The sequence below is a fragment of the Homo sapiens genome, chromosome 10 (assembly GCF_000001405.40).
Source record: "Homo sapiens chromosome 10, GRCh38.p14 Primary Assembly".
NCBI classification, from domain to species: Eukaryota; Metazoa; Chordata; class Mammalia; order Primates; family Hominidae; genus Homo; species Homo sapiens.
This window is the reverse complement of record NC_000010.11, coordinates 68,543,658-68,570,098: the sequence shown is the minus strand read 5'-3', so window position 1 is coordinate 68,570,098 and position 26,441 is coordinate 68,543,658. Positions and strand designations below refer to the sequence as shown.

General features: G+C 46.5%; 1 protein-coding gene and 1 pseudogene across 8 annotated transcripts in view, besides 4 other annotated features; one reads left to right on the top strand and one right to left on the bottom strand.

Annotated features, from left to right (window-relative positions):
* The window catches only part of TET1 (tet methylcytosine dioxygenase 1), a 134,151-nt gene extending 124,389 nt beyond the window's left edge, over window positions 1-9,762 (bottom strand). For all 8 annotated transcript variants that reach the window (XR_001747211.2, XR_001747212.2, XR_001747210.2 and 5 more), the window contains exon 1: window positions 9,357-9,762. The gene's annotated coding sequence lies outside the window, so the exon portion shown is untranslated. The remainder of the gene's footprint in view (window positions 1-9,356) is intronic.
* Window positions 1,301-1,801: an enhancer, noted in NCBI's record as "H3K4me1 hESC enhancer chr10:70328055-70328555 (GRCh37/hg19 assembly coordinates)". NCBI's record gives its function as "activates a minimal SCP1, AML or CMV promoter by ChIP-STARR-seq in naive H9 embryonic stem cells {active_cell/tissue: H9 hESC(naive)}" and the evidence as "EXISTENCE:reporter gene assay evidence [ECO:0000049][PMID:30033119]".
* Window positions 1,802-2,302: an enhancer, noted in NCBI's record as "H3K4me1 hESC enhancer chr10:70327554-70328054 (GRCh37/hg19 assembly coordinates)". NCBI's record gives its function as "activates a minimal SCP1, AML or CMV promoter by ChIP-STARR-seq in naive H9 embryonic stem cells {active_cell/tissue: H9 hESC(naive)}" and the evidence as "EXISTENCE:reporter gene assay evidence [ECO:0000049][PMID:30033119]".
* Window positions 9,523-10,045: an enhancer, noted in NCBI's record as "H3K27ac hESC enhancer chr10:70319811-70320333 (GRCh37/hg19 assembly coordinates)". NCBI's record gives its function as "activates a minimal SCP1, AML or CMV promoter by ChIP-STARR-seq in naive H9 embryonic stem cells {active_cell/tissue: H9 hESC(naive)}" and the evidence as "EXISTENCE:reporter gene assay evidence [ECO:0000049][PMID:30033119]".
* Window positions 18,162-18,731: an enhancer, noted in NCBI's record as "H3K27ac hESC enhancer chr10:70311125-70311694 (GRCh37/hg19 assembly coordinates)". NCBI's record gives its function as "activates a minimal SCP1, AML or CMV promoter by ChIP-STARR-seq in naive H9 embryonic stem cells {active_cell/tissue: H9 hESC(naive)}" and the evidence as "EXISTENCE:reporter gene assay evidence [ECO:0000049][PMID:30033119]".
* Window positions 25,159-26,073, top strand: TMEM14DP (transmembrane protein 14D, pseudogene; annotated as a pseudogene).

The window sequence follows — 26,441 nt, the reverse complement described above, 5'->3', positions numbered from 1 at the left end:
AACTTTTGGGTACTATGTTCACTACCTGGGTGACAGGACCAATTGCACCCCAAACCACAGTACCACACAATATGCCCATGTAACAAACCTGCACATGTACCCCCTGAACCTAAAAGAGTTGAAATTATTTTAAAAAAGAAAAAATACTAAAGTATCCTTTAAACCTTAGATTCACTATAAAGCTTCTTTAATTGCTACAACAAATGATTTAAGTTGATGAAGTTCCTCAAATAAGGTAAGCATGGGGTTTTCTCTACATTAGAAACCACACCCCTTGTAGTTTCATGCATTTTTAATTAATTAATTTATTATTATTATTTTTTTGAAACAGGTCTCCCTGTTGCCCAGGCTGCAGTGCAGTGACATGATCATACCTCACTGTAACCTTGAACTCCTGGCCCCAAGCAATCCTCCCCGCCTCCCCAAGTGCGGAGATTACGGGTGTGAACCAGCATGCCTAGCCATTATATATGTTTTAAAGCTTAAATCCCAATCTTTACAAATTTGGATACTTTAAAAATTATCTCTTTCCTGAGCATATCCCTATACTGGGAGAAGTATCATCTGTTTGACAGTAAAGCTGGTTAAACCAGAGGAAGAAGAGGCTCATATAAGGTAAGAAACTGGCCAGGCGTGGTGATTCACGCCTGTAATCCCAGCACTTTGGGAGGCCGAGGTGGGCGGATCACGAGGTCAGGAGATCGAGACCATCCTGGCTAACACGGTGAAACCCCATCTCTACTAAAAATACAAAAAATATTAGCCGGGCCTGGTGGCGGGCACCTGTAGTCCCAACTACTTGGGAAGCTGAGGCAGGAGAATGGCGTGAACCCGGGAGGCAGAGCTTGCAGTGAGCCGAGATTGCACCACTGCACTCCAGCCTGGGTGACAGAGCTAGACTCCATCTCAAAAAAAAAAAAAAAAAAAAAAAAGAAACTCTCCTGCCTGGAGATCCAGCAGTATTCCTACCACATTCCAATTAACAATCCACAGATTTTGAGCTTTTCACATGCACACCAAAACAGCATAAAATCTCAGGAGACAGTATTGACAAATTAGGTTACAAATAAGACTCACAGGTCCAATACATCTGTTGAGTACCTGCTATGTCTAAGGAAGGCATTGTGGTGGACACTGCCCAAACCCAGAAATGTCCCTCTTTTCTTTCTCCTGACTCAATCCAAAGACTGCTGGTTCTAAAATCCCTTCTACAAGATCCCACAGGTCTTTTTCTTTTTCTTTTTTTTTGAGACAGGGTCTCACTCTGTCACCTGGACTGGAGTGCAGTAGTGCTAACTCAGCTCACTACAGCCTCAACCTCCTGGGTTCAAGCAATCCTCCCACCTCAGCTGCCCGAATAGCTGGGACCACAGGCATGTGCCACCACGCCAGTCTAAATATTTAATTTTTGTGGAGATGGAGTCTCACCACTTGACTCTGGGTTTTGACCCGGGTCTTTTCAGATTGCCTACCCAGACCCAAAATAAGATGAAGCTCTAAGCAAAAGCAAAGCTCACTATAGTAGGATATCAACAGTCTCTCTCAAGATCACAGCATCGGCCTGGCACTGTGGCTCACACCTGTAATCCTAGCACTTTGGGAGGCTGAGGTGCACAGATCACCTGAGGTGGACAGATCACCTGAGGTCAGGAGTTCGAGACCAGCCTGGCCAACATGGTGAAACCCTGTCTCTACTAAAAATACAAAAAGTAGCTGGGCGTGGTGGTGGGCGCCTGTAATCCCAGCTACTCGGGAGGCTGAGGCATGAGAATCGCTTGAACCAGAGAGGTGGAGGTTGCAGGGAGCCAAGATCGCACCATTGCACTCCAGCCTGGGTGACAAGAGTGAAATGCCATCTCAAAAAAAAAAAAAAAAAAAAAAGACTGGGCGCGGTGGCTCACACCTGTAATCCCAAAGGCTGGGCGCAGTGCAGTGGCTCACGCCTGTAATCCCAGCACTTTGGGAGGCCAAGGTGGGTGGATCACCTGAGGTTGGGAGTTCGAGAGCAGCTTGACCAACATGGAGAAATTCTGTCTCTACTAAAAATACAAAATTAGTCAGGCATGGTGGTGCATGCCTGTAATCCCACCTACTCAGGAGGCTGAGGCAGGAGAATCACTTGAACCTGGCAGACAGAAGTTGCGGTGAGCCAAGATCGTGCCATTGCACTCCAGCCTCCATCTCATGGTGTAGGAACTCCGTCTCATGGTGTAGGAAAACGGTTGTTGGTAACCATTTGTTCTCATTGTGAGAACCATATGTTCTCACGAATGGTCTCAAATGACAACTAGTCTTAATTTTCTGTTGTCACAGTCTTGATTCTATGATTTTTTTTTTTTAATTTTTAAGATGGAGTTTCACTCTTATTGCCCAGGCTGGAGTTCAATGGCACGATCTTGGCATGTTGAGCAGGCTGGTCTCCAATTCCTGACCTCAGGTGATCTACCCGCCTCAGCCTCCCAATGTCTGAGAAAAATTAAAAATAGATTAAAAAAAAATAAACCTGGCCAAGCACAGTGGCTCATGCCTGTAATCCCAGCACTATTGGAGGCGGAGACGGGTGGATCACCTGAGGTCGGGAGTTTGAGACCAGCGTGACCAACATGGAGAAACCCTGTCTCTACTAAAAATACAAAATTAGCCGGGCGTGGTGGTATATGCCTGTAATCCCAGCTACTTGGGAGGCTGAGGCAGGAGAATCACTTGAACCCTCCCGGGTTCAATCTGTTTAAAAATTACTGACTGACCTAGGTAATCCTAGGACCCACTGTTTAGTTTCATGTCTAGAGATGATCTCACACCAAAAAGTCCTGGGTTTGAATCTGTGATCGCCAGCTCTGTGTCCTTCAGAGAACTACTTAGCTGAGTCCATGTTCCTTCATCTAAAATGAGGTAGTTTTGAGGTTTCAATGGGCTCCCACAGGAAAAAACTAGTGGCACTGGTTTCATCCTTGTGGTATCTGTGGTTTGAGTGTCAGGGGACATGGGTAGCAGAGTAAAAAGATGGACGTTGGAAGTAGGCTGACCTGGGTTCAGTTTTCAGTTCATAAATATTAGTAGATTGTGACAAGTTTCTTGGTATCTTTATACCTATGTTTCTTCATGTTTAATACAAAAGAAAACCTAATAGTATTGACCTCATTGGGTTATCATGAGAATAAAACGAAATAATATGTGTAAAGGCTTAGCACAGGGCTGGCGCATGATAGGTGTTTCATAAATAGGAGCTAAAAAAAAAAAGCCTGTTTGCAACTCTAAAATACAAAAAAAAAAAAGAGAGAGAGAGAAAATAAGTGGTAGTTATCATTATTATGGAACCAGTTTAACTCAGAGTTTGCTATATTCTCCAGAACAAGATCTCCTTTTGGTTCTGTTCCCACCTTACACACTACGTAGGTTATACACACAAGAATTCCCAGAGCACACTACATTTAGTCAATGTAATGTGTCTTTAAGACTTTTAAAATAGACATTAGTGATAACATCAAATACACAAAAAATAACATTTTGATAAATCTGTACTAAATACAAACACTAGGCCAGAGAATACTTCACTTGAATTCTTGGCATCTAAGCTTACTGCTTTCCCCTTCTTCCAAAAAAAAAAAAAAGTTTTGGCTTGCAGTAATTCAGTCTTTGGCTGTGAGAAACTGAAAGATATTTTCTCCAAAGACCACTGCTTTTTGTACAAGATTTTCAGAAAACAAGACATTCCAATTCCAATTTCCAAAAAGTCAACAAATACCTTCATCAGGATGCATTTTCATTACAAAAAGCAATTCATTTTAATCTCTTGAAATTCAACGATATCATTAAAAGCATGCTTTCTCTCTTGTATCAAGATTATACTGCTAAAAAATTATTAGGAGTATATAATCTAGTCATTGTAAATCAGCCACAAAAATTAAAATTCATATATGTAGGCAAGTAATCTGGGTATGCCAGAGGGTGTCATGGGATCTGCTTTGAAAGTGGTTTACAAATTGATTTCTGTCTCTCCTATATTCTTTCATATTTTTAAATTGAAGTGCTTTAGAAATTCAGACTTGTAATTAAGATAATCTTTATCATTCAAACCCTATCTCCTAAAAAACAGCCTGTCAAGGAAATAGAAAAGGTATGAACAACATGGATTGCGAAGATGTGGCCTCTTTAAATGGTAACAGCCTTTTTATGAGATCATGAAAGAGGCCAATGACCCCTGAAAAACCCAACTGCAGGGGAGAAAACCACTGGGTGCCACCCAGCCAAAGAATCAGAGACAACCAGAAACAAAATAAGGACTCCCACAAGACCCTGATTTTTATCACTCATGGCTCCACTATTGAAACATAAACTTCTTTTGTGACAAACTAAGTTGTCCCAAGAGCCGAACTCACGGAGTAGGGGCAGTAAGTTTATCCTGAAATTTGTGGAGGCAGGGGCAAGAGAATGTAGTCCACTCCATTAAATAGGTCCACATTTAAATATGGAATTACCTCAAAGACCTCCAGAAATTAATTTCTTTTTTGTAAACATTATTAAATGCTCTGCTTCCATTTTTAGTGCTTCTGTCATAGATTATTCAATTCATACAAAAATGTGTGTGTGTCTGTGTGCATATATATATATATATATATATATTTTTTTTTTTTAAACAGGGTCTTGCTCTGTCGCTCAGGTATATCAAGGCTCACTGTAGCCTTGACCTCCTGGGCTTAAGTGATCCTCCCACCTCAGCTTCCCAAGTAGCTGGCACTACAGGCACGTGCCACCACACCAGGCTAATTTTTTCTTTCTTTTGTAAAGACAGGGTGGTCTCACTATGCTGCCCAGGCCACTCTCAAACTCCTAGCTTCAAGTCATCTGCCCTCCTGAGCCTCTTAAAGTGCTAGGACTACAGGTGTGGGCCACCATGTCCAGAAAAAATGTGTATTTTCAAATAAATACTCAGATCCTACCACTCAGATGAACTAAAATATTTCCAGCAGTCAAATCTCTCCCGTGTACACTCTTCCCTAATTCTACTTCCATTTTTCATTTCTGATAAAAACTGATATTTCAATGTTTCTCAATATCAGGTTTGTTTTGTTTTTTTGAGACAGGTCTTGCTCTGTTGCCCAGGCTGGAGTGCAGTGCTGTGATCATCGCTAACTATAGCCTTAAACTCCTAGACTCAAGTGATCCTCCCATCTCAGCCACCGCGGTAGCGGGAATTACAAGCACAGGCCACCATGCCTGGCTAAGTTCTTTTTATTTTTTGTAGAGATGAGGATCAAGGGTGATCTCACTATGTTGCCCAGACTGGTCTTGAACTCCTAGCCTCAAGTGATCCTCCTGCCTCAGCCTCCCAAAACACTGGGATTACAGGCATGAGAAAGTTACTTTTATTCTAACCTGGAATGTCTTCAAGAGTCAGTGAAAGTGCTGCAGAGATAGCTACATGATAACATGATATGAGAAGAAAATAAGACTGGAGACCCTGTTATTAAGCATCTATCATTGGCCAAGAAGGGAATCATGTGCAATTAATGGACACCATCCTGTGAGTTCTTACTGTCATGGAAGGGAAAAACAAAAAACCATTTCTGGGATGTAAAACATTACTCAATCAACAGATCTTTTCACCAGAGAGCACCAAGACGCCCTAAACAACAACAGAATAATTTTTGGCCAGGCGTGGTGGCTCACACCTATAATCCCAGCACTTTGGGAAGCTGAGGCAGGTGGATCACTTGAGGTCAGGAGTTCGAAACCAGCCTGGCCAACATGGTGAATCCCCATCTCTACCAAAAATACAAAAATTAGCCGGGCATGGTAGCGCATGCCCGTAATCCTAGCTACTAGGGAAGCTGAGGAAGGAGAATCACTTGAACCCAGGAGATGAAGGTTGCAGTAAGCGGAGATCACACCACTACACTCCAGCCTGGGCAACAGAGTGAGACTCTGAAAAAAAAAAAAAAGAAAACAATAGAACATTTTTCCCCCTAAAATGTCTTTATGACAAGGGAACTACAGAGTATGCAATCCAAAATTATAGGCTAGGAGATAATAACCCAACTAACTTTTAAAAATAATTACCTTGCTTAGAGAATGAAAAGCTGGCTTCTTAAAGTGTAAGGGTTTTCTGCAAAGAACTGGCTGGTGCGGTGGTTCTTGCCTGTAATCTAAGCATTCTGGGAGGCCGAGGCAGGCAGATCACCTCAGGTCAGGAGTTTGAGACCAGCCTGGCCAATATAGTAAAACCCCATCTCTACTAAAAATACAAAAATTAGCCAGGTGTGGTGGCACACGCCTGTAATCCCAGCTACTTGGGAGGCTGAGGCAGGAGAACTGCTTGAACCCCGGAGGCAGAGGTTGTAGTAAGCCAAGATCATGCCACTGCACTCTAGCCTGGGAGACAGAGCGAGACTCCGTCTCAAAAAACAAACAAAAAAGCCAGTATTGACAGCAACATGTCAGCAAGATCCTCTTCCCACCTATATCCGTCCTTTTTCTGGATTCCCCCAAAATCCTCTGGGCAAAAATGCTTAACTGATGTAACAATCCAGCCTGCATGTTAAATTAAAGTCATATTTCAATTCTTCCCACTACCAGCAGTGGCCAAAAACGTGGTATTTGCATACATAGAGCTAGTTGCAAGAGACTGATTTCATAGTCCCTCCATTCAGCTCTACAGAACTTAAAGGCTCTTGCACTTGGCAGAGAAAAACAAGATTTAAAACATTTTTTAAAAAAGGCAGCACCTGGCTCAGTTTCCTCCAGCAACTAAGTTCTACCTCGAAAGGAAGAGCAGGCAGGCAACTGCTTGCTGTTCCTAGATAGTTTTCTACCACAGGAAGTGTGAGAGCCCTCGGCACATGTAAAAGCTGTTCAGGGAAACTCACTAGAATGCCAGCACATTTAGTCAATGGCTCCTTCCATATGTAAAACACCCCTCTGCCCTGCAGAGAGGAAGGGGGAAAAAAGGGGGGAAAAGGGCCAAGAAAAGGGAAGGGAGACGTTAGAATGGACATAGAACTGTCCTTCCGAAGACAAGAAAGACATAACACACAACAGGAGGAAGTAGAAGAAAAAGCAAGAGAAGGAAGAAAATGCCCAAAAAGAAAACAAAAAAGGCCAAAAACGAAAGAAGGGGAAGAAATGTATAGTAAAAAACTGAGGAAGGGCAAAAATTACTTATAGTAAAAACTGAGGAAGGGGTTCGACATCTATAGTAATAAAGCTAGAACATAAAAAGGCAACTGGGATCAAAAGGCCGAAAACTAAAAGACCAAGGGGATAGGGGAAATCAAGTGTGCAGGGAAGATACGGACGCTCAGAAGGTGGGGGAGGGGAGACAAATCAGATGGGAGAAGGAAGAGAAACAAAGGGCAGGGACAGTGGAGACCCAACCCTCCCACCCATCTATTCTGGGAGACCAGCCCGGAGAGCGATAGTTAACTCTTATTAAAATGGAAAGTGGCAGTCCCAGAGTTGTAAGCCTGGACTCCTCATCTTTGCAAAGAGAAAAGGACACTGTCTGCCATTTCCCGTATATCTTGATTCTGAAATTTAATTGAAACCACAACTTAGCTTTAAAGACTGACAAACTAATTAAAAATCCCTTAATTGGGGAAAAGGGGGACCCGTATGATCAATACCGATAAAATCGGAAACACACCAAAAGCCACCTAAGTCTTTTGATTCTTGGTTTGATTCACCTAAGTCTTTCGATTATTAACTCACACCAATCTCCTTATTTCCGTACCTATCTACGTGTACCCCTGCCCCTGGTTTAATTGTAGTCATAAATTCCTAGTGTGCTCCAAATAACTGTTGCCCTTACTGGTTAAGAAGCGCCTTTTCCATATTTTTCGTATCCTGAGGCCTAATTAAACCATTGCTTTTATTTTACTTTATATTGGGGGTGGGGACGCCGAGCACACTCAGGTCCAGGGGAGACCTGGGGCTGCTGCTATACAGCGCCGCTCTTCCAGTGGCGCGCGCGGCTCACCCCGCCGGCCCAGGGCTGTGTACCTAATCCTGTTCTCGCTCCAAGGTCTTGCAGCACTTTTCAAACATTTCTTCAAAAAGCAGTCATTACTAGGACATATTGTGCAGCTCGTTTAGTGCCCAGGAGTGGAACCGGGACGGAGGGGAAGAGGCACCCTAAGAGACGTATGCAGAAAGGTTGGTTAATTTGGGAGAGGGACGAGTTGGGGGCGCGGGAAAGACTCCGAGGCTGAAGCTTTAAGTGTTCTTTTGGAAACACTTTAGTTTTTAGTGGATCAGAAATGCCCAGCGTGGGTTTCTCGTTCACGTGGAAAGATTACCAGCGTCGGCCAGTCCCTTCCAGACCACTTCTTGTAGAATATATATATATATATATTCAAGAGCCTGGGGCGAGAGAGGCGGGGACCGGAGCGGGGGAGAGGGAGGGAGGGAGGGAAGCACAGAGAGAGAGGAGAGCATTTTTTCTCTGGGGGCGGTAGGTTGTGCGGCCGCCTCCTCGCCCGAGAGCGAGGACCAGGCCCCTCACGTGCTGCACGACCAGCCCCAGCACCCAGCTCCGCGCACCTCCCACCCTCGGGGCCCGCTCCGGGATCCCGCCAGACGGGGACTGATGGGATCGCAAGGCCAGCGCGTCCAGCGACCCAGTGGTGCTCATAAATGAGTTTCTTAAATGCCATTTTGACAGAACACACTCTACTCCCTCTTCCCTTCTTCCCTGATCCTTACAACTCCCAGCCAACTCCTAGCAAGACTGCACCACTGCCTCCACTCCAAACGTTTCATCCCTGGAGCTGCCGTCCCAAAACTCTCGGGGAGACAGGCGCCAAAGCGTTTCCCTACCAACCTGTCTCTCATATATATATGGGGGGAGGGAGAAAACTTGTTTAGGGGGTACGCTTGAGCACGGGACAGCCCGGACTCCCCACTCACAACTTGCACAGACTCTAGCCTCTCCTCACCCCGAGGCGCCCCGACCTCCAACTCCCCAAAGGGGCCAGGGAACCAACCGCTGGTATATTCAGCCATCTCCCCCACGCCACACTTGCCCTCCCCCAGCCCCGCTTCCACCGCAGCCCGGGGTCAGAGCCCCAGGCGCCCCCGCTGCCCCCAACCCGGCGCTGTGGCGGGGCCTCCGGAGCGGGTGGCCGATACCTCCGGCCGGGGGCATTGTTTATCTCCGGCAACAAAAGCGTCCCGAGCGTCCCGGGGTGGGGGGTCGAGGCGGGGAACGAGCCCACCCCTGAGGCAGCGGGAGAGCCAAGGACGCAGAGCCCCGGCCACATCCAGCCCGCGCCGAGCGCCGCCTCCCGGACCCCCCTCGGGCCTCGGCGTCGGAGTCCTCGCTCCCCGCACCCCTGCCCTCTGCCCCGGCCCCAACTCACCGCTGGCCGGGTCACATTCCCAGGGCAGCGCACGGCCCCCAGCTCCAAGCCTGCACCAGCCCTCGGGCAAACTTTCCAACTCGCGCCGGTCCCCACAACTTTGGAGCCCGGGGCCCCGGCGGGCGCGAGGGGCGCGGGCGGGTCGCGGAGGACGCCTACCGGCTCCCAGCACAGTCAAGGCCCGAGCCCCCGAGGTGAGGAGTCGGTTCCCAAAGGTCCACAGTGGAGAGGCAGGTAGGGCTGCATGACTTGGGCGAGGCAGAGGGGTGTCCCGGGGGGCAGACCCGGGAGTAGAGGGGCCAGCGGCTGCGCGCACAAAGCGGCGCCGGAGCAGACTGCGCGGCCACTCCCCGCCAGGTCAGCCCCCCGGAGCAGCAGTGTCTCCCCAGGACAGACCTCAGGGAGTGAAGCTGGGGCTCTGCCTTCGCTGGACCCTGCACAGTTGAGCGAGAGACAAAACGCGAGCTGGATTTACCCAAACTGGAGCTGGAATCCCTCCTCGACTCCCTCTCGACCCCCTCCCCCTCCCCCTCGTTCTCCACCTCTCTCAACTTCTCTGTCTCCGAAGAAGACGTAGAGAGGTGTCAAGATTTTGTCATTAACTTTTTTCCCAGGGGAGCTCTAGAAAAAGTTTTTAGGATCTCTAAATTGCATGTTTATAAATGTATGAAGAAGGTGCCAGGTCAGAGATGACACCATTGAGCAATGTCTAGGTCGCCAGCAACGGAAAACCGCCCTCAACACCAAAGAGAGAAACCAGATGAGGGCTGTGTTCCCTGACTCTGGGCTGGATGTCTGCAAAGTTCATCATAATATTTCTGTTAGTTATTTGGCCCTGGACCTCAGTGGTGGTCGTATTCACTTTATGAATGAAGAAATGAAAGGGCAGGAAGAGCTAAGTTTTCCGAATTAGGAGGAATAACCAGTGGCATTACGCCAGAATTAAGACTGACTAGGGCATCTGAATTTTTCTCTAAATGTTTGATAGCTATTGCTTCTTCCAGCAGTCATGACACAGACAAGGGAATCCAGGATTTTAATGGGGTCACCGTGGTAAGGAAAATGCTGTTCATGGAATCTTCATTCCTTCCAGGTCAAACTTCAAGTGAAGAGAAAGGATTCAGTCCCTCATTGCATTTCACACCATTCTACCCCCATTCTGCACTTAGATTTTATTCGTATACACATAAGTATAACCGGGCTGTTCTGGGAAAGATTCCTAAACTTTTAACCTTCCTCACTGATTGATTCATACAAATGTATTCTTGCACTACAATGTAGGCATACAAGGATGAATAAAATTTGCCTCCTACACAGAAGGAACAGAGATTCCAGGCTGGCAGAGCAAACTGATGACTGCACTCGTGTTTTCAATGGCACAATCAAAGTACCTTGGCTGAATAAAATCAGAAATGTGGCATTTGAAATAAATTTTTTTTTGAGATGGAGTTTCGCTCTTGTTGCCCAGGCTGGAGTGCAATGGCATGATATCGGCTTACTGCAACCTCTGCTCCTGGGTTCAAGCGATTCTCCTGCCTCAGCCTCCTGAGTAGTTCGGCTTACAGGTGTGCGCCACCACACCCAGCTATGTTATTATTATTATTATTATTATTTTGGAAGAGATGGGGTTTCACCTTGTTGGTCAGGCTGGCCTCGAACTCCTGACCTCAGGTGATCTGCCTGCCTTGGCCTCCCAAAGTGCTGGGATTACACGCGTGAGCCACCACACCAGGCCTGAAATAAATCTTATATGACCCGTTGATGGTATAGGGGTTAGCATAGCTGCCTTCCGTGAAATAAATCTTATGGACAAAAATTGACCCTTCTGAGCCAATGCTTCAAAAGGTTACTTGTTAAAATCTTGTTAGAAACATTCTACCTAGATAAAAAGAAAGGAATGCAGGGAGAGTTTGACTTATAAAACTTGATTTTCAAGGCTGGGCACACACCTGTAATCCTAACACTTTGAGAGGCTGGGGCAGGAGGACTGTTTGAGCCCAGGAGTTTCAGGTTGCAGTGAGCTTTGGTAAAGCCACTGCACTCCAGCCTGAGTGACAGGGCAAGATACTGTCTTAAAAAAAATCCTGACTTTCAGGTGGGCATAATAGTGCGCACCATCCCAGCTACTCGGGAGACTGAGGCAAGAGGATTACTTGAGCCCAAGAGTTTGAGGCCATCCTGGGCAACCACAGCAAGACCCATCTCCCTGCCCCCAAAAAAAGGAAAAGGAAAAATCCAACATAATCTAATTTTCATGAAGAACAAAAGGAAAAGGACTATCATAAAATAGAAATATCCTGGCTTTTGTCAATTAACTGGATTAACTTTAAAATGTATTGAAATAGGAAAATCATACAACTATATAGAATGATGTCCATGGTAACACTCATTCCCCTTGAGTCCCTACTTAGTGCCAGACACAATTCCAAACTTGGGGAAACAAAAGTGAGCAAAAGGAAACCTCCGTCCTTGTAGAGCTTGCATTCCATCGTGTTGTAAGAGTCGGGGCACAGAAAATAAAGAAAATAAATGAGCAGAATATATAGTGTATCAGATAGTGATAGCACCGGGATAAAGTGGGGGGAAAAGGCAGGGAAGGGGATGGGAAATGCTGGGGAAGATTGCAATTAAAAAAAAAAATAGCCGGGCACAGTGGCTTACACCTGTAATCCCAGCACTTTGGGAGGCCAAGCCAGGCAGATCAATGTCAAGAGATCAAGACCATCCTGACCAACATGTTGAAACCCAGTCTCTACTAAAAATACAAAAATTAGCTGGGAGTGGTGACGCGCACCTGCAGTCTCAGCTATTCGGGAGGCTGAGGCAGGAGAATCGCTTGAACCTGGGAGGCAGAGGTTGCAGTGAGCCGAGATGGCACCACTGCACTCCAGCCTACAGCCTGGTGACAGAGCAAGACTCCATCTCAAAAACACACACACACAATACACAGGGCTCAGGGCTCAGTGGCTCATGCCTGTAATTTCATCACTTAGGGAGGCAGAGGGGGGGAGGATCACTTGAACCCAGGAGATCGAGACCAGCCTGGGCAACATAGTGAAATCTCTACTAAAAATATAAAAATTAGCCAGGCATGGTGGTGCATGCCTGTTTTCCCAGCTACTCGGGAAGCTGAGATGGGAGAATCACCTGAGTCTGGGAGGCGGTTGCAGTGAGCCAAGATTGTATGACTTGCATGTCAGCCTGGAGGAAAGATCAAGACCCTGTCTCAAAACAAACAAACAAACAAACAAAAAACCCAATGAGTGCTTCTAAAAGGATTCTAAGTGCATGTGTGCTTCTAAAATAATTGTGTGTGTGTGTGTGTGTGTTTTGTTTTTTGGGTTTTTTTTTTTTGAGATGGAATCTTGCTCCGTCGCCCAGGCTGGAGTGCAGTGGCCCGATCTCGGCTCACTGCAACCTTCGCCTCCCAGGTTCAAGCAATTCTGCTTTAGCCTCCTGAATAGCTGGGACTAAAGGCATGCACCACCACGTGTGGCTAATTTGTGTTTTTTTAGCAGAGATGGGGTTTCACCTTGTTGGTCAGGCTGGTCTTAAACTCCTGACCTCAGGTGATCCACCTGCCTCGGCCTCCCAGAGAGCCAACGCGCCTGGCCTGTTTGTTTTTGAGAGGGAGTCTCACTCAGTCGCCCAGGCTGGAGTGCAGTAGTGCAATCTTGTCCCACTGCAACCTTCCTCCCAAGTTCAAGCAATTCTTGTATCTCAGCCTCCCAAGTAGTTGTGATTACAGGCATGAGCCACTGCCCCTGACCAGAATTTTAATTTTGAATTCAGCAATCAAGGAAGACCACATTGAGTAGACTGAAAAAAGTAAGGGAGGAAGCTGGAAGAAGATTGCAGGCTTAGGAAAAAGCAAGTGCAAAGGCTCTGAGGGCTGAATTGAGTCTGTGTCAATAAAATATTTTCATTATGTTTCACAATGGTGAAAAACTGGAAACCATCTAAATGTCCATCAAAAAAGGACAGGTCTCTCCCACTGGCCAAGTCTGGGACAATTTCGAGTTTGGGAAGGAGAGTTATCTTGAAGAAACAAATTGAGAGTCATCAGCATGTAGATGATATTAAAAACCATCTTGGCACCCAGCAACCTGATCGGGTTCATCTGTCAGGAAAGGGGCCAGATGTTTCCATAAAGTCTAAAAGGTTTAACAAGTCATGGGAAATTAAACAATAACATGAGGTGACTACTCAGGGAGAAGAAAATAAAGTGCAATTCTTTCCAGACCTCAATAACAAAGAATAAATGTTTAGGCAATTTTCCACTATCCTTATAACTAACTTACCCCATTTTCTTCCCCAAGTAACAGCAAGAATGTCTTTTTTCCAGTCACCTCTTTTAAAAAGAGGTATGAAAATTATGTCATAAGGGTATAGGAACTGCACTTATCTAACTCATCCAAACCTAACTCAAGTTCCCTCTACAGTTATTTCTCATTTTACTATTGCTCTATCTCCAAAACATCTTAGCTACTCTGCTTACCAAATTATCTTGGTTAGTGACCTGGCAGAGGTGGAAATTATATATATAATATAGAATAACCTCCTCAAACACACATACACACACAGAGATTCTTTCCTAAAGAATATAATCTCTGCCAGGCATGGTGGCTCACGCCTGTAATCCCAGCACTTTTGGAGGCCAAGGCGGATCATGAGGTCAGGAGTTCAAGACAAGCCTGGCCAAGAAGGTGAAACCCTGTCTCTACTAAAAATACAAAAATTAGCCAGGTTGGCCGGGCACGGTGGCTCACGCCTGTAATCCCAGCACTTTGGGAGGCCCAGGTGGGCAGATCACGATGTCAGGAGATCGAGACCATCCTGGCTAACACGGTGAAACCCCGTCTCCACTAAAAATACAAAAAAAAAGTAGCCGGGCATGGTGGCGGGCGCTTGTAGTCCCAGCTGCTCGGGAGGCTGAGGCAGGAGAATGGCGTGAACCCGGGAGGCGGAGCTTGCAGTGAGGTGAGATCGCGTCACTGCACTCCAGCCTGGGCGACAGAGCAAGACTCCGCCTCAAAAAAAAAAAAAAAAAAAAAGAAAGAATATAATCTCCATTGGACAAAATTTTAAAATTTGGCAATACTAAGTGTTAGGAATTTTATACAATCCTGGTAGTACAAATTATATAGTAACTAAGGAAGACAAACTCATTATTTCCTATATGGAGATCAGGGTCTGATTAGATAGATAGATAGATAGATAAATTAATTTGGGTTAGGTGGCCCATGCCTGTGGGACCAGCTGCTTAGGATGCTGATGTGTGAGGAGTTTGAGACCAGCCTAAGCAACATAGCAAGACCCTAACTCAGTAAATAAATAATAAAATAAAAAATAAAATAGGCTGGGCGCGGTGGCTCATGCCTGTAATCCTAGCACTTTAGGAGGCTGAGGCGGGTGGATCATGAGGTCAGGAGTTTGTTTTGTTTTGAGACGGAATCTCCCTCAGTCGCCCAGGCTTGAGTGCAGTGGCGTGATCAGCTCACTGCAATCTCCGCCTCCCAGGTTCAAGCAGTTCTCCTGCGTCAGCCTCACGCGTAGCTGGGACTACAGGAGCACATCGCCACGCCCAGCTAATTTTTTTTGTATTTTAGTAGAGACGGGGTTTCACCATGTTGTCGAGGCTGGTCTCAACCCCGGAGCTCAGGCAATCCGCCCACCTCAGCCTCCCAAAGTGCCAGGATTACAGGCGTGAGCCACAGCGCCTGGCCACAAGGTCAGGAGTTTGAGACCAGCCTGACCAACAAGGTGAAACCCCATCTCTACCAAAAATACAAAAATTAGCCGGGCGTGGTGGCAGGCGCCTGTAATCCCAGGTACTCAGGAGGCTGAGGCAGGAGAATTGCTTGAACCCGGGAGGTGAAAGTTGAAGTGGGCCATGATCACACCATTGCACTCCCGCCTGGGCGACAGAGCGAAACTCCATCTCAAAATAAGTAAATAAATAAATATAAAACGTAAATTCAATAGATAGATAGTTGATATAATAGCAGGTAGTAAAGAGTCAGTTGTCCCTTGGTGATCTGGGACAGCACACTCTGCATGGTCCTGGGGGATAGCGGGGAAGCTGGGCAAGATACATCTTGTAGCAGCAGAAGCCAGCAGTAGCATTTGTGAAGATCTAATGCTGTCAGTTGGGCGAGGAATTCAAAGGAGAAAGAAAAATTTCAAGTAGAAAAAACTCAAGGAGGCTGGGCACTGTGGCTTACACCTATAGTCCCAGCTACCCAGACGGCTGAGGCAGGAGGATTGCTTGAGCCCAGGAGGTGAAGGCTGCAGTGAGCTATGACTGCATCAGTGTGCTCCAGACTGGGTGACAGAGCATGAGTCTGCCAAAAAAATAAAATAAATTAAAATAATTCTTAAAAAAGAAAAAAAGAGGCCGACCGTGGCGGCTCATGCCTATAATCCCAGCACTCTGAGAGGCCGAGGCGGGTGGATCACCTGAGGTCAGGAGTTCAAGACCAGCTGGGCCAATATGGTGAAACCCCGTCTCTACTAAAAATACAAAATATTACTCAGGCGTGGTGGTGGATGCCTATAATTCTAGCTATTCGAGAGGCTGAGGCAGGAGAATCGCTTGAATCCAGGAGGCGGAGGTTGCAGTGAGTCGAGATCACGCCATTGCACTCCAGCCTGGGCAACAGAGTGAAACTCCATCTCAAAAAAAAAAAAAAAGAAAAAGAAAAAAGAAAGGACCCAAGGGAATGACCAGAGAACTACCAGAGGAAAGAACTTGCACTGAGCAGGTGTTCAAGAATTGGCATTTATTGGTCACAAATTAAGGGAAAAAAGTTTTTTCTCCCTACTCGCACTGAATGCAGCTCAGAATATTTATCAGATTTATGGGGGTTTTCACACACACACACACCAAAATTCTCCAGCAGATGCCAACTGGGTGTCCTCTAACTCAATTCAATTCTGATGCTATCTGAAGCCCACAGATAGGGGCTTAGTCCCACAAGACTGCCGCCATTTTGAGACACCAATTACATGTCCCAGACAGTGACCTGTGCTTCTGACTGACTATAAATCAGGGGTCCCACAACCCCCCTCCTCGGCTGTGATAATTTGCTAGGATGGCTCACAGAACTCAGGGGAAATGCTCTACTTATGTTAACCAATGTATTATGAAGGACACAAATGATCACTCCAAGAAGATATGCAAAGGGCATGATTGTGGAAGGAGGTGTCACAAAGCTTCCGTACCTTGACTGTGCACACTGACCTCCCAGCAACTCGAAGTGTTCAGCAACTCCTTGTTCAAAAGTTTCTATGGAGCATCATCTCCTGAACCCCTCCCTCCCCCACCCCCTCTGCCTTTCCAATCCACTAATCACCCGTTGAGCAGCCCCAGCCTAAGGCTACCTTGGGGCCCCACCCTAAATCACTTCTTTAGCATAAACTCTGGCGTGATGAAGGGATTTGTTGTGAATAACTAAGACATTCCTAGCACTCAGGAAATTCCTACGATTTTAGGAGCTGTGTGACAGGAGCTGGGGACTCAGACTAAATGTATTTCATATCATAGTAGTCCACTCCTTATCAGAGGTCGTCAGTGGTCTGATAAGATTCCATGGAAAATTCAAGAAATAAACAATTTTTTTTTTGTTTTTTGAGATGGAGTCTCACTCTGTTGCCCAGGATGGAGTGCAGTGGCGTGATCTCGGCTCACTGCAACGTCTGCCACCCTGGTTCAAGCGATCTCCTGCTTCAGCCTCCCGAGTAGCTGGGATTACAGGCACCTGCCACCACACCTGGCTAATTTTTTTTTTTTTTGTAGTTTTTAGTAGACAAGGGGTTTCACTATCTTGGACAGGCTGGTCTCAAACCCCTGACTTCGTGATTCACCTGCCTCTGCCTCCCAAAGTGCTGGGATTACAGGCGTGAACCACTGTGCCCAGCCAGCAATAGGTTTTAAAATACTTATTTTATTTTATTAAAAAATAAAATAAATTTTAAATAAATAAAAATTGCTAAAAAGCAATAGTTTCGGCCGGGCACGGTGGCTCAGGCCTGTAATCCCAGCACTTTGGGAGGCCGAGGCGGGCGGATCATGAGGTCAGGAGTTGGAGACCAGCCTGGCCAACATAGTGAAACCCCATCTCTACTAAAAATACAAAAAAATAGCTGGGTGTGGCCAGGCACGGTGGCTCAGACGACAGAGATTTCTTACCTTTCTTTCCTTTCCTCAGCGTGCAATTTCTTTTCTTACTTGAAGTTTCTTCTCTATGTTATGTGCCTGCCCATTAGCTTGTATCCTTGAGCCCATAGCTTCCATGTTACTTATCTAAGCACCTCTTACTCCATTAATGAGCCCCTGTCTTTCTAGCATCAGCACCGTCTCCTCTTCATTAATTCCTTCTCCTCTGCTGTTTATAGGTCTTTTGTGTTTACCATGACCAGGTGGCCCCTTTGCTTGGCCTTGCTTTCTTATTTCTTTCCTGAGAAGCTCTCCCTTCCCCTCATCTCCCCACCCCTCCCCTTCCTTTCTCTCTTTTTGACACAGGGTCTCTTTTGTAGCCCAGGCTGGGGTGCACTGGTATGATCACAGCTTATTGCAGCCTCAGCCTCTCTCCCAGTTTCAAGCGATCCCCCTGCCTCAGCTTCCCGAGTAGCTAGGACTACAGGCAAGGCTAATGCCCAGCCTAATGTTTGTACTTTTTAGTAGAGACAGGGTTTCGGCACGGCGAGGTGGCTCACACCTGTAATCCCAACACTTCGGGAGGCCGAAGCAGGCAGATCACGAGATCAGGAGTTCAAGACCAGCCTGGCCAACATGGTGAAACCCCGTCTCTACTAAAAATATAAAAACTAGCCAGGTATGGTGGGGGGTGCCTGTAGCTCCCCCACTCCACCCACCAGCTACTCTGGAGGCTGAGGCAGGAGAATCACTTGAAACCAGGAGGTGGAGGTTGTAGTGAGCCAAGATTGTACCACTACACTCCAGCCTGGGCAAAAAGAGTGAGAATAATTCTCAAAAAAAAGAAAAAAAAAGAGATAGGGTTTCACCATATTGGCCAGGCTGGTCTTGAACTTCTGACCTCGTGTTCTGCCCACCTTGGCCTCCCAAAGAGCTGGGATTACAGGTGTGAGCCACTGTGCCGAGCCAGGCAAGGCTAATTAAAAAAAAAAAATTGTTTTGGCTGGGCATGGTGGCTCATGCCTGTAATCCCAGCACTTTGGAGGGCCTAGGTGGGCAGATCACTTGAGGGCAGGGGTTCAAGACCATCCTAGTCAATATGGCAAAAACCCATCTCTACTAAAAATACAAAAATTAGCCAGGCATGGTGGCACATGCCTGTAATCCCAGCTACTCAGAAGGCTGAGGCAGGAGAATCGCCTGAACCCGGGAGGCAGAGGTTGCCATGAGCTGAGATCACGCTATGGCACTCTAGCCTGGGAGACAGAGCCAGATTCTATCTCAAAGAAATTTTTTTTTTTTTAGAGATGGGATCTTGCTCTGTTGCCCAGGCTGGTTATGAACTCCCAGCCCCAAGTGATCCTTCCACCTCAGACTCCCAAAGTGCTGGGATTTACAGCCATGAAGCCACTATGACTGGCCAAGAATTTCTATTTGCTGCTTCTTTTTTCTACAATGCCCATTTATTCCTGAGTTCACTGATGCACTCTCCTAAGGCTATAGTCACTACACATCTTCATTCTCCTTTGTTTAAAAATGCCTCCTCCCTGGATCTCTGTGGCAGCTAATAGGCCACCCACATGTCCAAATTGCCTTCACCATCTTCTCTCTCTTCCTGCTCCCTCCTTTGGAGACTTCCTGGTACTGCAAGCCCTTCAAGACTCCTGGTCTCAGAAGACTTCTGAAGCTGAATTTCCAGCCCTGGTTTGTAGCTCTGGTGTTACCACTAACCTCTGAAGCCATGTTTTGCGTTCCTGCTCTATTTTCCATTCATTTTCACCTGAGTGATGCTGAGACTTCCTCCCCTCTGACGCTTCATTTATGTTGTATGTTGTAACCTCCATACATGCCTATTCAGACACTAAAAATGACTGAATGAGTGGACAAGCAATGGCTCACACCTGAAATTCCAGCACTTTGGGAGGTCAAAGTGGATGGATCACATAAGGACAGGGGTTCTAGACCAGCTTGGCCAACATGGTGAAACCCTGTCTCTACTAAAAATACAAAAGTAGCTGGGTATGGTGACAGGAGCTTGTAATCCCAGCTACTTGGTAGGCTGAGGCAGGAGAATCGCTTGAACCCAGGAGGCGGAGGTTGCAGTGAGCTAAGATTGTGGTACCGCACTCCAGCCTGGGAGACTGAGCAAGACCCTGTCTAAAAAAAAAAATTAGTTATCTTAATAAAAGCTATCTTAGTTACCTCATGAGTTTCTCCTAACATTTTCTCAGGCTTTGTGAATGGAGATGATGGAAATGTTGGGACAGAGGGACAGATGCAGATCTGCCTAGAATGTTCTTCTTCCTCCTGCCTCTTCTTCTCTTATCTAATTTTCTTTCCTTTTTTTTTTTTTTTTTTTTTTTTGAGACAGAGTCTCGCTCTGTTGCCCACACTGGAGTGCAGTGGTGCGATCTTGGCTCACTGCAACTTCCACCTCCCAGGTTCAAGTGATTCTCCTGCCTCATCCTCCTGAGTAGCTGGGATTACAGGCATGCGCCACCATGCCTGGCTAATTTTTGTGTTTTTATTAGAGATGGGGTTTCACCATGTTGGTCAGGCTAATTTCGAACTCCTGACCTCTTGATCCACCTGCCTTGGCCTCCCAAAGCACTGGGATTACAGGCGTGAGCCACCACGCCCAGCCTTCTTCTTCTTCTTTTTTGAGACAGAGTCTTGCTTTGTCGCCCAGGCTGGAATGCAATGATGCGATCTCAGCTCACGGAAACCTCCGCCTCCCGGGATTCTCCTGCCTCAGCCTCCTGAGTAGCTAGGATTACAGGCACGTACCACTGTACCCAGCTAATTTTTGTGTTTTTAGTTGAGACGAGGTTTCACCATGTTGGCCAGGCTGATCTTGAACTCCTGACCTCATGATCCACCCACCTCGGCTTCCCAAAGAGCTGGGATTACAGCATGAGCCACAGCGCCCAGCCTATTTTTTGTATTTTTAGTACAGACATGGTTTCACCATGTTGCCCAGGCTGGTCGAACTCCTGAGCTCAGGCAATCTGCCAGCCTCAGCCTCCCAAATTTGCTAGCACTACAGGCATGAGCCACGGCGCCCAGACTAATTTTCCTTTTTATCAACCTGGCAAACTTGTCCTTATTCCTCAAAACCCAGCTCACAGAGCTCCTAGTCTGTGAAACCTTTTATAATTACTGAGGCAGAATTAGGAGCTCCATAGCCTTATGGATCTCTGAGCTGCTTCTGCAACATTCCTATATCTCTCTCATTGCAATGCTCACACATTCTACTCCAGTTACTCACCAAATTGCATACCTTGCATGGGATTGTCTTTTTTTTTTTTTTTTTTTTTTTTTTGAGATGGAGTCTTACTGTGTCGCCCAGGCTAGAGTGCAATGTCGATATCTCGGCTCACTGTCGATATCTTGGCTCACTGTAACCTCCACCTCCCAGGTTCAAGTGATCCTCCTGCCTCAGCCTCCCCAGTAATGGGGATACAGGTACGTGCCATCACGCCCAGCTAATTTTTGTATTTTTAGTAGAGACAGGGTTTCACCAGCTTGGCCAGGCTGGTCATGGATCTCACTATGTTGCTCAGATTGGTCTCAAACTCCTGGACTCAAGCAACCCTCCTGACTCAGCCTCCCAAAGTGCTGGGATTAAAGGCATGAGTCAACATGCCCATCTGTGGTGTTGGATATTTAATGTATAGATTTGGTGGGCTGTAGAAAAAGACTTGACCAAAACATGTCCCTTTTTCATTTCATTTTATTTTATTTGAGGCAGGGTCTTGCTCTGTCAACCAAGCTGGAGTGCAGTGGTGCAACCTTAGTTCACAGCAGTCTCGAACTCATGGGCTCAAGCCATCCCCTCCTACTCAGCCTCCCAAGTAGCCGGGACTACAAGCACACGCCACCATGCCCAAGTTTTTTTTTTTTTGCAGAGGTGGGATCTCAATATGTTGCCTAGGTCAGTCTTGAACACCTGCCCTCAAGGGATGCCCCTACCTTAGCCTCCAAGGTGTTGGGATTACACGCATAAGCCACCATGCCTGGCCAGTTTTCTGTGTTTTTTTTGTTTTTGTTTTTGTTTTTTTTGAGATGGAGTCTTGCTCCGTCGCCAGGCTGGAGTACAGTGGTGTGATCTCGGCTCACTGCAATCTCTGCCTCCCGGATTCAAACGATTCTCCTGCTTCAGCCTCCCGAGTAGCTGGGACTACAGGCGCATACCACCACACCCAGCTAATTGTTTTGTATTTTTAGTAGAGATGGGGTTTCACCATGTTGGCTAGGATGGTCTTGATCTCTTGACCTCGTGATCCGCCCGCCTCTGCCTCCCAAACTGCTGCGATTACAGGCATGAGGCACTGCACCTGGCCTGGGCAGTTTTCATGAAAAAATATAATAATAACCATATTACTCAAGCCAAAAAGAAAAGATAAATCTGAAACTTTTTTTAAGCCCCTGCTTTCGGCTGGGTGCGGTGGCTCATGCCTGTAATCCCAGCACTTTGGGAAGCTAAAGGCAGGGGATTGCTTGAGCCCAGGAGATTGAACCCACCTGGGCAATACAGCGATACGTCCTCTCTACAAAACAAAAAAGGAGTCGGGGCTGGGTGCGGTGGCTCACAGCTGTAATCCCAGCAATTTGGAAGGCCGAGGCAAGTGGGTCACTTGAAGTCGGGGTTCGAGACCAGCCTGGCCAACATGGTGAAACCCCATCTCTACTAAAAATGCAAAAATTAGCTGGGTGTGGTGGCATACACCTGTAGTCCTAGCTACTTGGGAGGCTGAAGCAGGAGAATTGCTTGAAACCAGGGAGGCAGAGGTTGCAGCGAGCCAAAATCCTGCCATTGCACTCCAGGCTTGGTGACACAGTGAGACTCCATCTCAAAAAAAAAAAAAAAAAGTAGGCGGGGCACGGTGGCTCACGCCTGTAATCCCAGCACTTTGGGTGGCCGAGGCGGGTGGATCACGAGGTCAGGAGTTCCAGACCAGCCTGGCCAAGATGATGAAACCCCGTCTCTACTAAAAATACAAAAAGTAGCCAGGTGTGGTGGTGCACGCCTATAGTCCCAGCTACTCAGGAGGTTGAGGCAGAAGAATCATTTGAACCCAGGAGGCGGAGGTTGCATTGAGCTGAGATTGCACCACTACACTCAAGCCAGGGCAACATAGCGAAACTCCGTCTCAAAAAGAAAGTGCAGCTCCTCATCTTTCATTCATCCGCCTCCTCAGAGATCATCATGGCTGACAAATTCTTGCGTATGTTTCTGAGATTTATCATGTCATTTCTTCTGATGTACTAAAATCCTGTACTTTATGTGACTATAAAAGATAATGAAGATGTCGTGTTTCTTTATTATTATTATTGAGACAAAAAGTCTTGCTCTGTTGCCCAGGTTGGAGTGCAGTGGCACGATCTCGGCTCACTGTAACCTCTGCTGCCCGGGTTCAAGCGATTCTCCTGCCTCAGCCTCCTGAGTAGCTGGGATTACAGGTGCCTGCCACAATGCCAGGCTAAAATGGGGTTTCCCTCTTGTTGCCCAGGCAGGAGTGGAATGGCGGATCTTGGCTCACTGCACCCTCTGCTTCCCGGGTTCAAGTGATTCTCCTGCCTCATCCTCCCGAGTAGCTGGGATTACAGGCACCTGTCACCATGACTGGCTAATTTTTTTTTTTTTTAACTAGAGATGGGGTTTCCCTATGTAGGCCAGGGTGGTGTCAAACTCCTCACCTCAGGTGATCTACCCACCTCAGACTCTGAAAGTGCTGGGATTACAGGCGTGAGCCACTGTGCCCAGCAGACTCCCTTTTATTTTTGAGACGGAGTCTTGCCCTGTTGCCCAGGCTGAGGTGCAATGGCGCAAATTCAACTTACTGCAACCTCCGCTTCCTAGGTTCAAGCAATTCTCTTGCCCCAGCCTCTCTAGTAGCTAGGATTACAGGCAGGCGGCACTACACCCAGCTAATTTTTTATATCTTTAGTAGACGGGGTTTCACCATGTTGGCCAGGGTGGTCTCGAACTCTTGACCTTGTGATCCGCCCGCCTTGACCTCCCAAAGTGCTGGGATTACAGGTGTGAGCCACTGTGCCCAGCTGTTCCCAAAGTTTTTTAAATGAATAAGGCATCTGTAATATATGATGCTTATTTCTGATAAATATAAATAAATAAGAGTTAATAATGAGCCGAGCAAGGTGGCTCACACCTGTAATTCCATCACTTTGGATGGCTGAGACAGGAGGATTGATTGAGCCCAGGAGTTTTAGACTAACCTGGGTGACATGGAAAGACAATGTCTCTAATTTTTATTTATTTATTTATTTATTTAGGCAGAGTTTCGCTCTTGTTGCCCAAGCTGGAGTGCAATGATGCAATCTCGGCTCACTGCAACCTCCACCTCCCGGGTTCAAGCGATTCTCCTGCCTCAGCCTCCTGAGTAGCTGGGATTGCAGGCGCGTGCCATCATGCCTGGCTAATTTTTTGTATTTTCAGTAGAAACGAAGTTTCGCCATGTTAGCCAGGCTGGTCTCGAACTCCGGACCTCAGGTGATCCGTCTGCCTCGGCCTTCCAAAGTGTTGGGATTACAGGCGTGAGCCACCGCACCCAGCCGGCTTATTTTTATTTATTTTTTAAGACAGAGTCTCACTCTGTTGCCCAGGCTGGAGTGCAGTGGTGCAATCTCAGCTCACCGCAACCTCCGTTTCCCGGGTTCAAGCGATTCTCATGCCTCAGCCTCCTGAGTAGCTGGGACTACAGGCATGCACCACTGCTCCCAGCTAATTTTTTAAATTTTTTTTTTCGAGATGGGGTTTTACCATGTTGGTCAGGCTGGACTTGAACTCCTGACTTCCTGATCCGCCCACCTCAGCCTCCCAAAGTGCTAAGATTACAGGCGTAAGGCACTGGACCCGCCTCTAAGTTTTATATTAAAGAAAACAAATTGGCTGGGTGTGGTGGCTCACGCCTATAATCGCAGCAATTTGGGAGGCCAAGCCGGGTGGATAACTTGAGGTCAGGAGTTTGAGACCAGCCTGGCCAACATGGGGAAACCCCATGTGTACTAAAAATTAAAAAATTAGCTGGGTATGCTGTCGCACACCGGTAATCCCAGCTACTCATGAGGCTGTGGCAGGAGAATTGCCTGAACCCGGGACACGGAGATTGCAGTGAGTTGAGATTGTGCCGCTGCACTCCAGCCTGGGCAGCAGAGCAAGACTCTGTTTCGGAAAAAAAGAAAAAAAAATTAATGATCTGTGGTCTAAAAGAGACTACATAATAGAAGACAAAGATAGCTAAGGTCCGGCCGGGTACAGTGGCTCACGCCTGTAATCCCAGCACTTTGAGAGGCTGAGGCGGGTGGATCACCTGAGGTCAGGAGTTCGAGACCAGCCCAGTCAACATGGCGAAACCCAGTCTCTACTAAAAATACAAAAATTAGCCAGGCATGTTGGTGGGTGCCTGTAATCCCAGCTACTCAGGAGGCTGACGCAGGAGAATCGCTTGATTCTGGGCGGCGGAGGTTGCAATGAGCTGAGATTGTGTCACTGCACTCCAGCCTGGGCACCAGAGCAAGACTCCATCTTGGGCAACAAGAGTGAAACTTGTTGCCCAAGCCTGGGCAACAAGAGCAAAACTCTGTTGCAAAAAATAATAATAATAATAAAAAATAAAAACAAGAGACCTGGCAGCTGTGTCCCGCGGCTTGCGCTCCATTGTGCTCCCCACGGGCCTTCAGGAGATGCAGGCCTGGGGTAGTCTCCTTTCTGGACTGAGAAGAGAAGAATGGAGAAGCCCCTCTTCCCATTAGTGCCTTTGCATTGGTTTGGCTTTGGCTACACAGCACTGGTTGTTTCTGGTGGGATCGTTGGCTATGTAAAAACAGGCAGGGCGCCGTCCCTGGCTGCAGGGCTGCTCTTTGGCAGTCTAGCCGGCGTGGGTGCTTACCAGCTGTATCAGGATCCAAGGAATGTTTGGGATTTCCTAGCCGCTACATCTGTTACTTTTGTTGGTATTATGGGAATGAGATCCTACTACTATGGAAAATTCATGCCTGTAGGTTTAATTGCAGGTGCCAGTTTGCTGATGGCTGCCAAAGTTGGAGTTCGTATGTTGATGACATCTGATTAGCAGAATCAGATGTTCCAGCTTGGACTCATGAAGGATTAAAAATCTGCATCTTCCACTATTTTCAATGTATTAAGAGAAATAAGTGCAGCATTTTTGCATCTGATATTTTACCTAAAAAAAAAAGACCAAATTTGGCGGAGGGGTGGAAAATCAGTTGTTACCATTATAACCCTACAGAGGTGGCGAGCATGTAACACGGGCTTATTGAGACCCTCATAGAGATCGATTCTTGTATATTGATTTTATCTCTTCTTTCTGTATCTATAGGTAAATCTCAAGGGTAAAATGTTAGGTGTTGACATTGAGAACCCTGAAACCCCATTCCCTGCTCAGAGGAACAGTGTGAAAAAAATCTCTTGAGAGATTTAGAATATCTTTTCTTTTGCTCATCTTAGACCACAGACTGACTTTGAAATTATGTTAAGTGAAATATCAATGAAAATAAAGTTTACTATAAATAATAAAAAAAATAAAAAAATCAAAACAAAACAAAAACAAACAAAAACAAACAAAAAAGATCGCTAAGATTCAAGACAATGCTTATTAAAATGTACACCATTTCCCCCATTTCATAATATATTGGGGTACATGTCAAATGAGGGAAAGCTTTCAAAGAAGGCTTTTTAGGTAGTTATTGTTATATATGGTCTGTATGGTAATTTTGTGTTGTCTGTATTCAAAAACCATTTGTCATTTTGGGGATGAGAATAACTTTATTTGAAACGCTAATTCGCTGACTAACCCTGAGTCTGGGAATGCCTCCAAAATGTCTAGGTGATGTATTACTCTTTATATAGGATACCTATTCATTGTAAGTTTCACCTTTCCTTC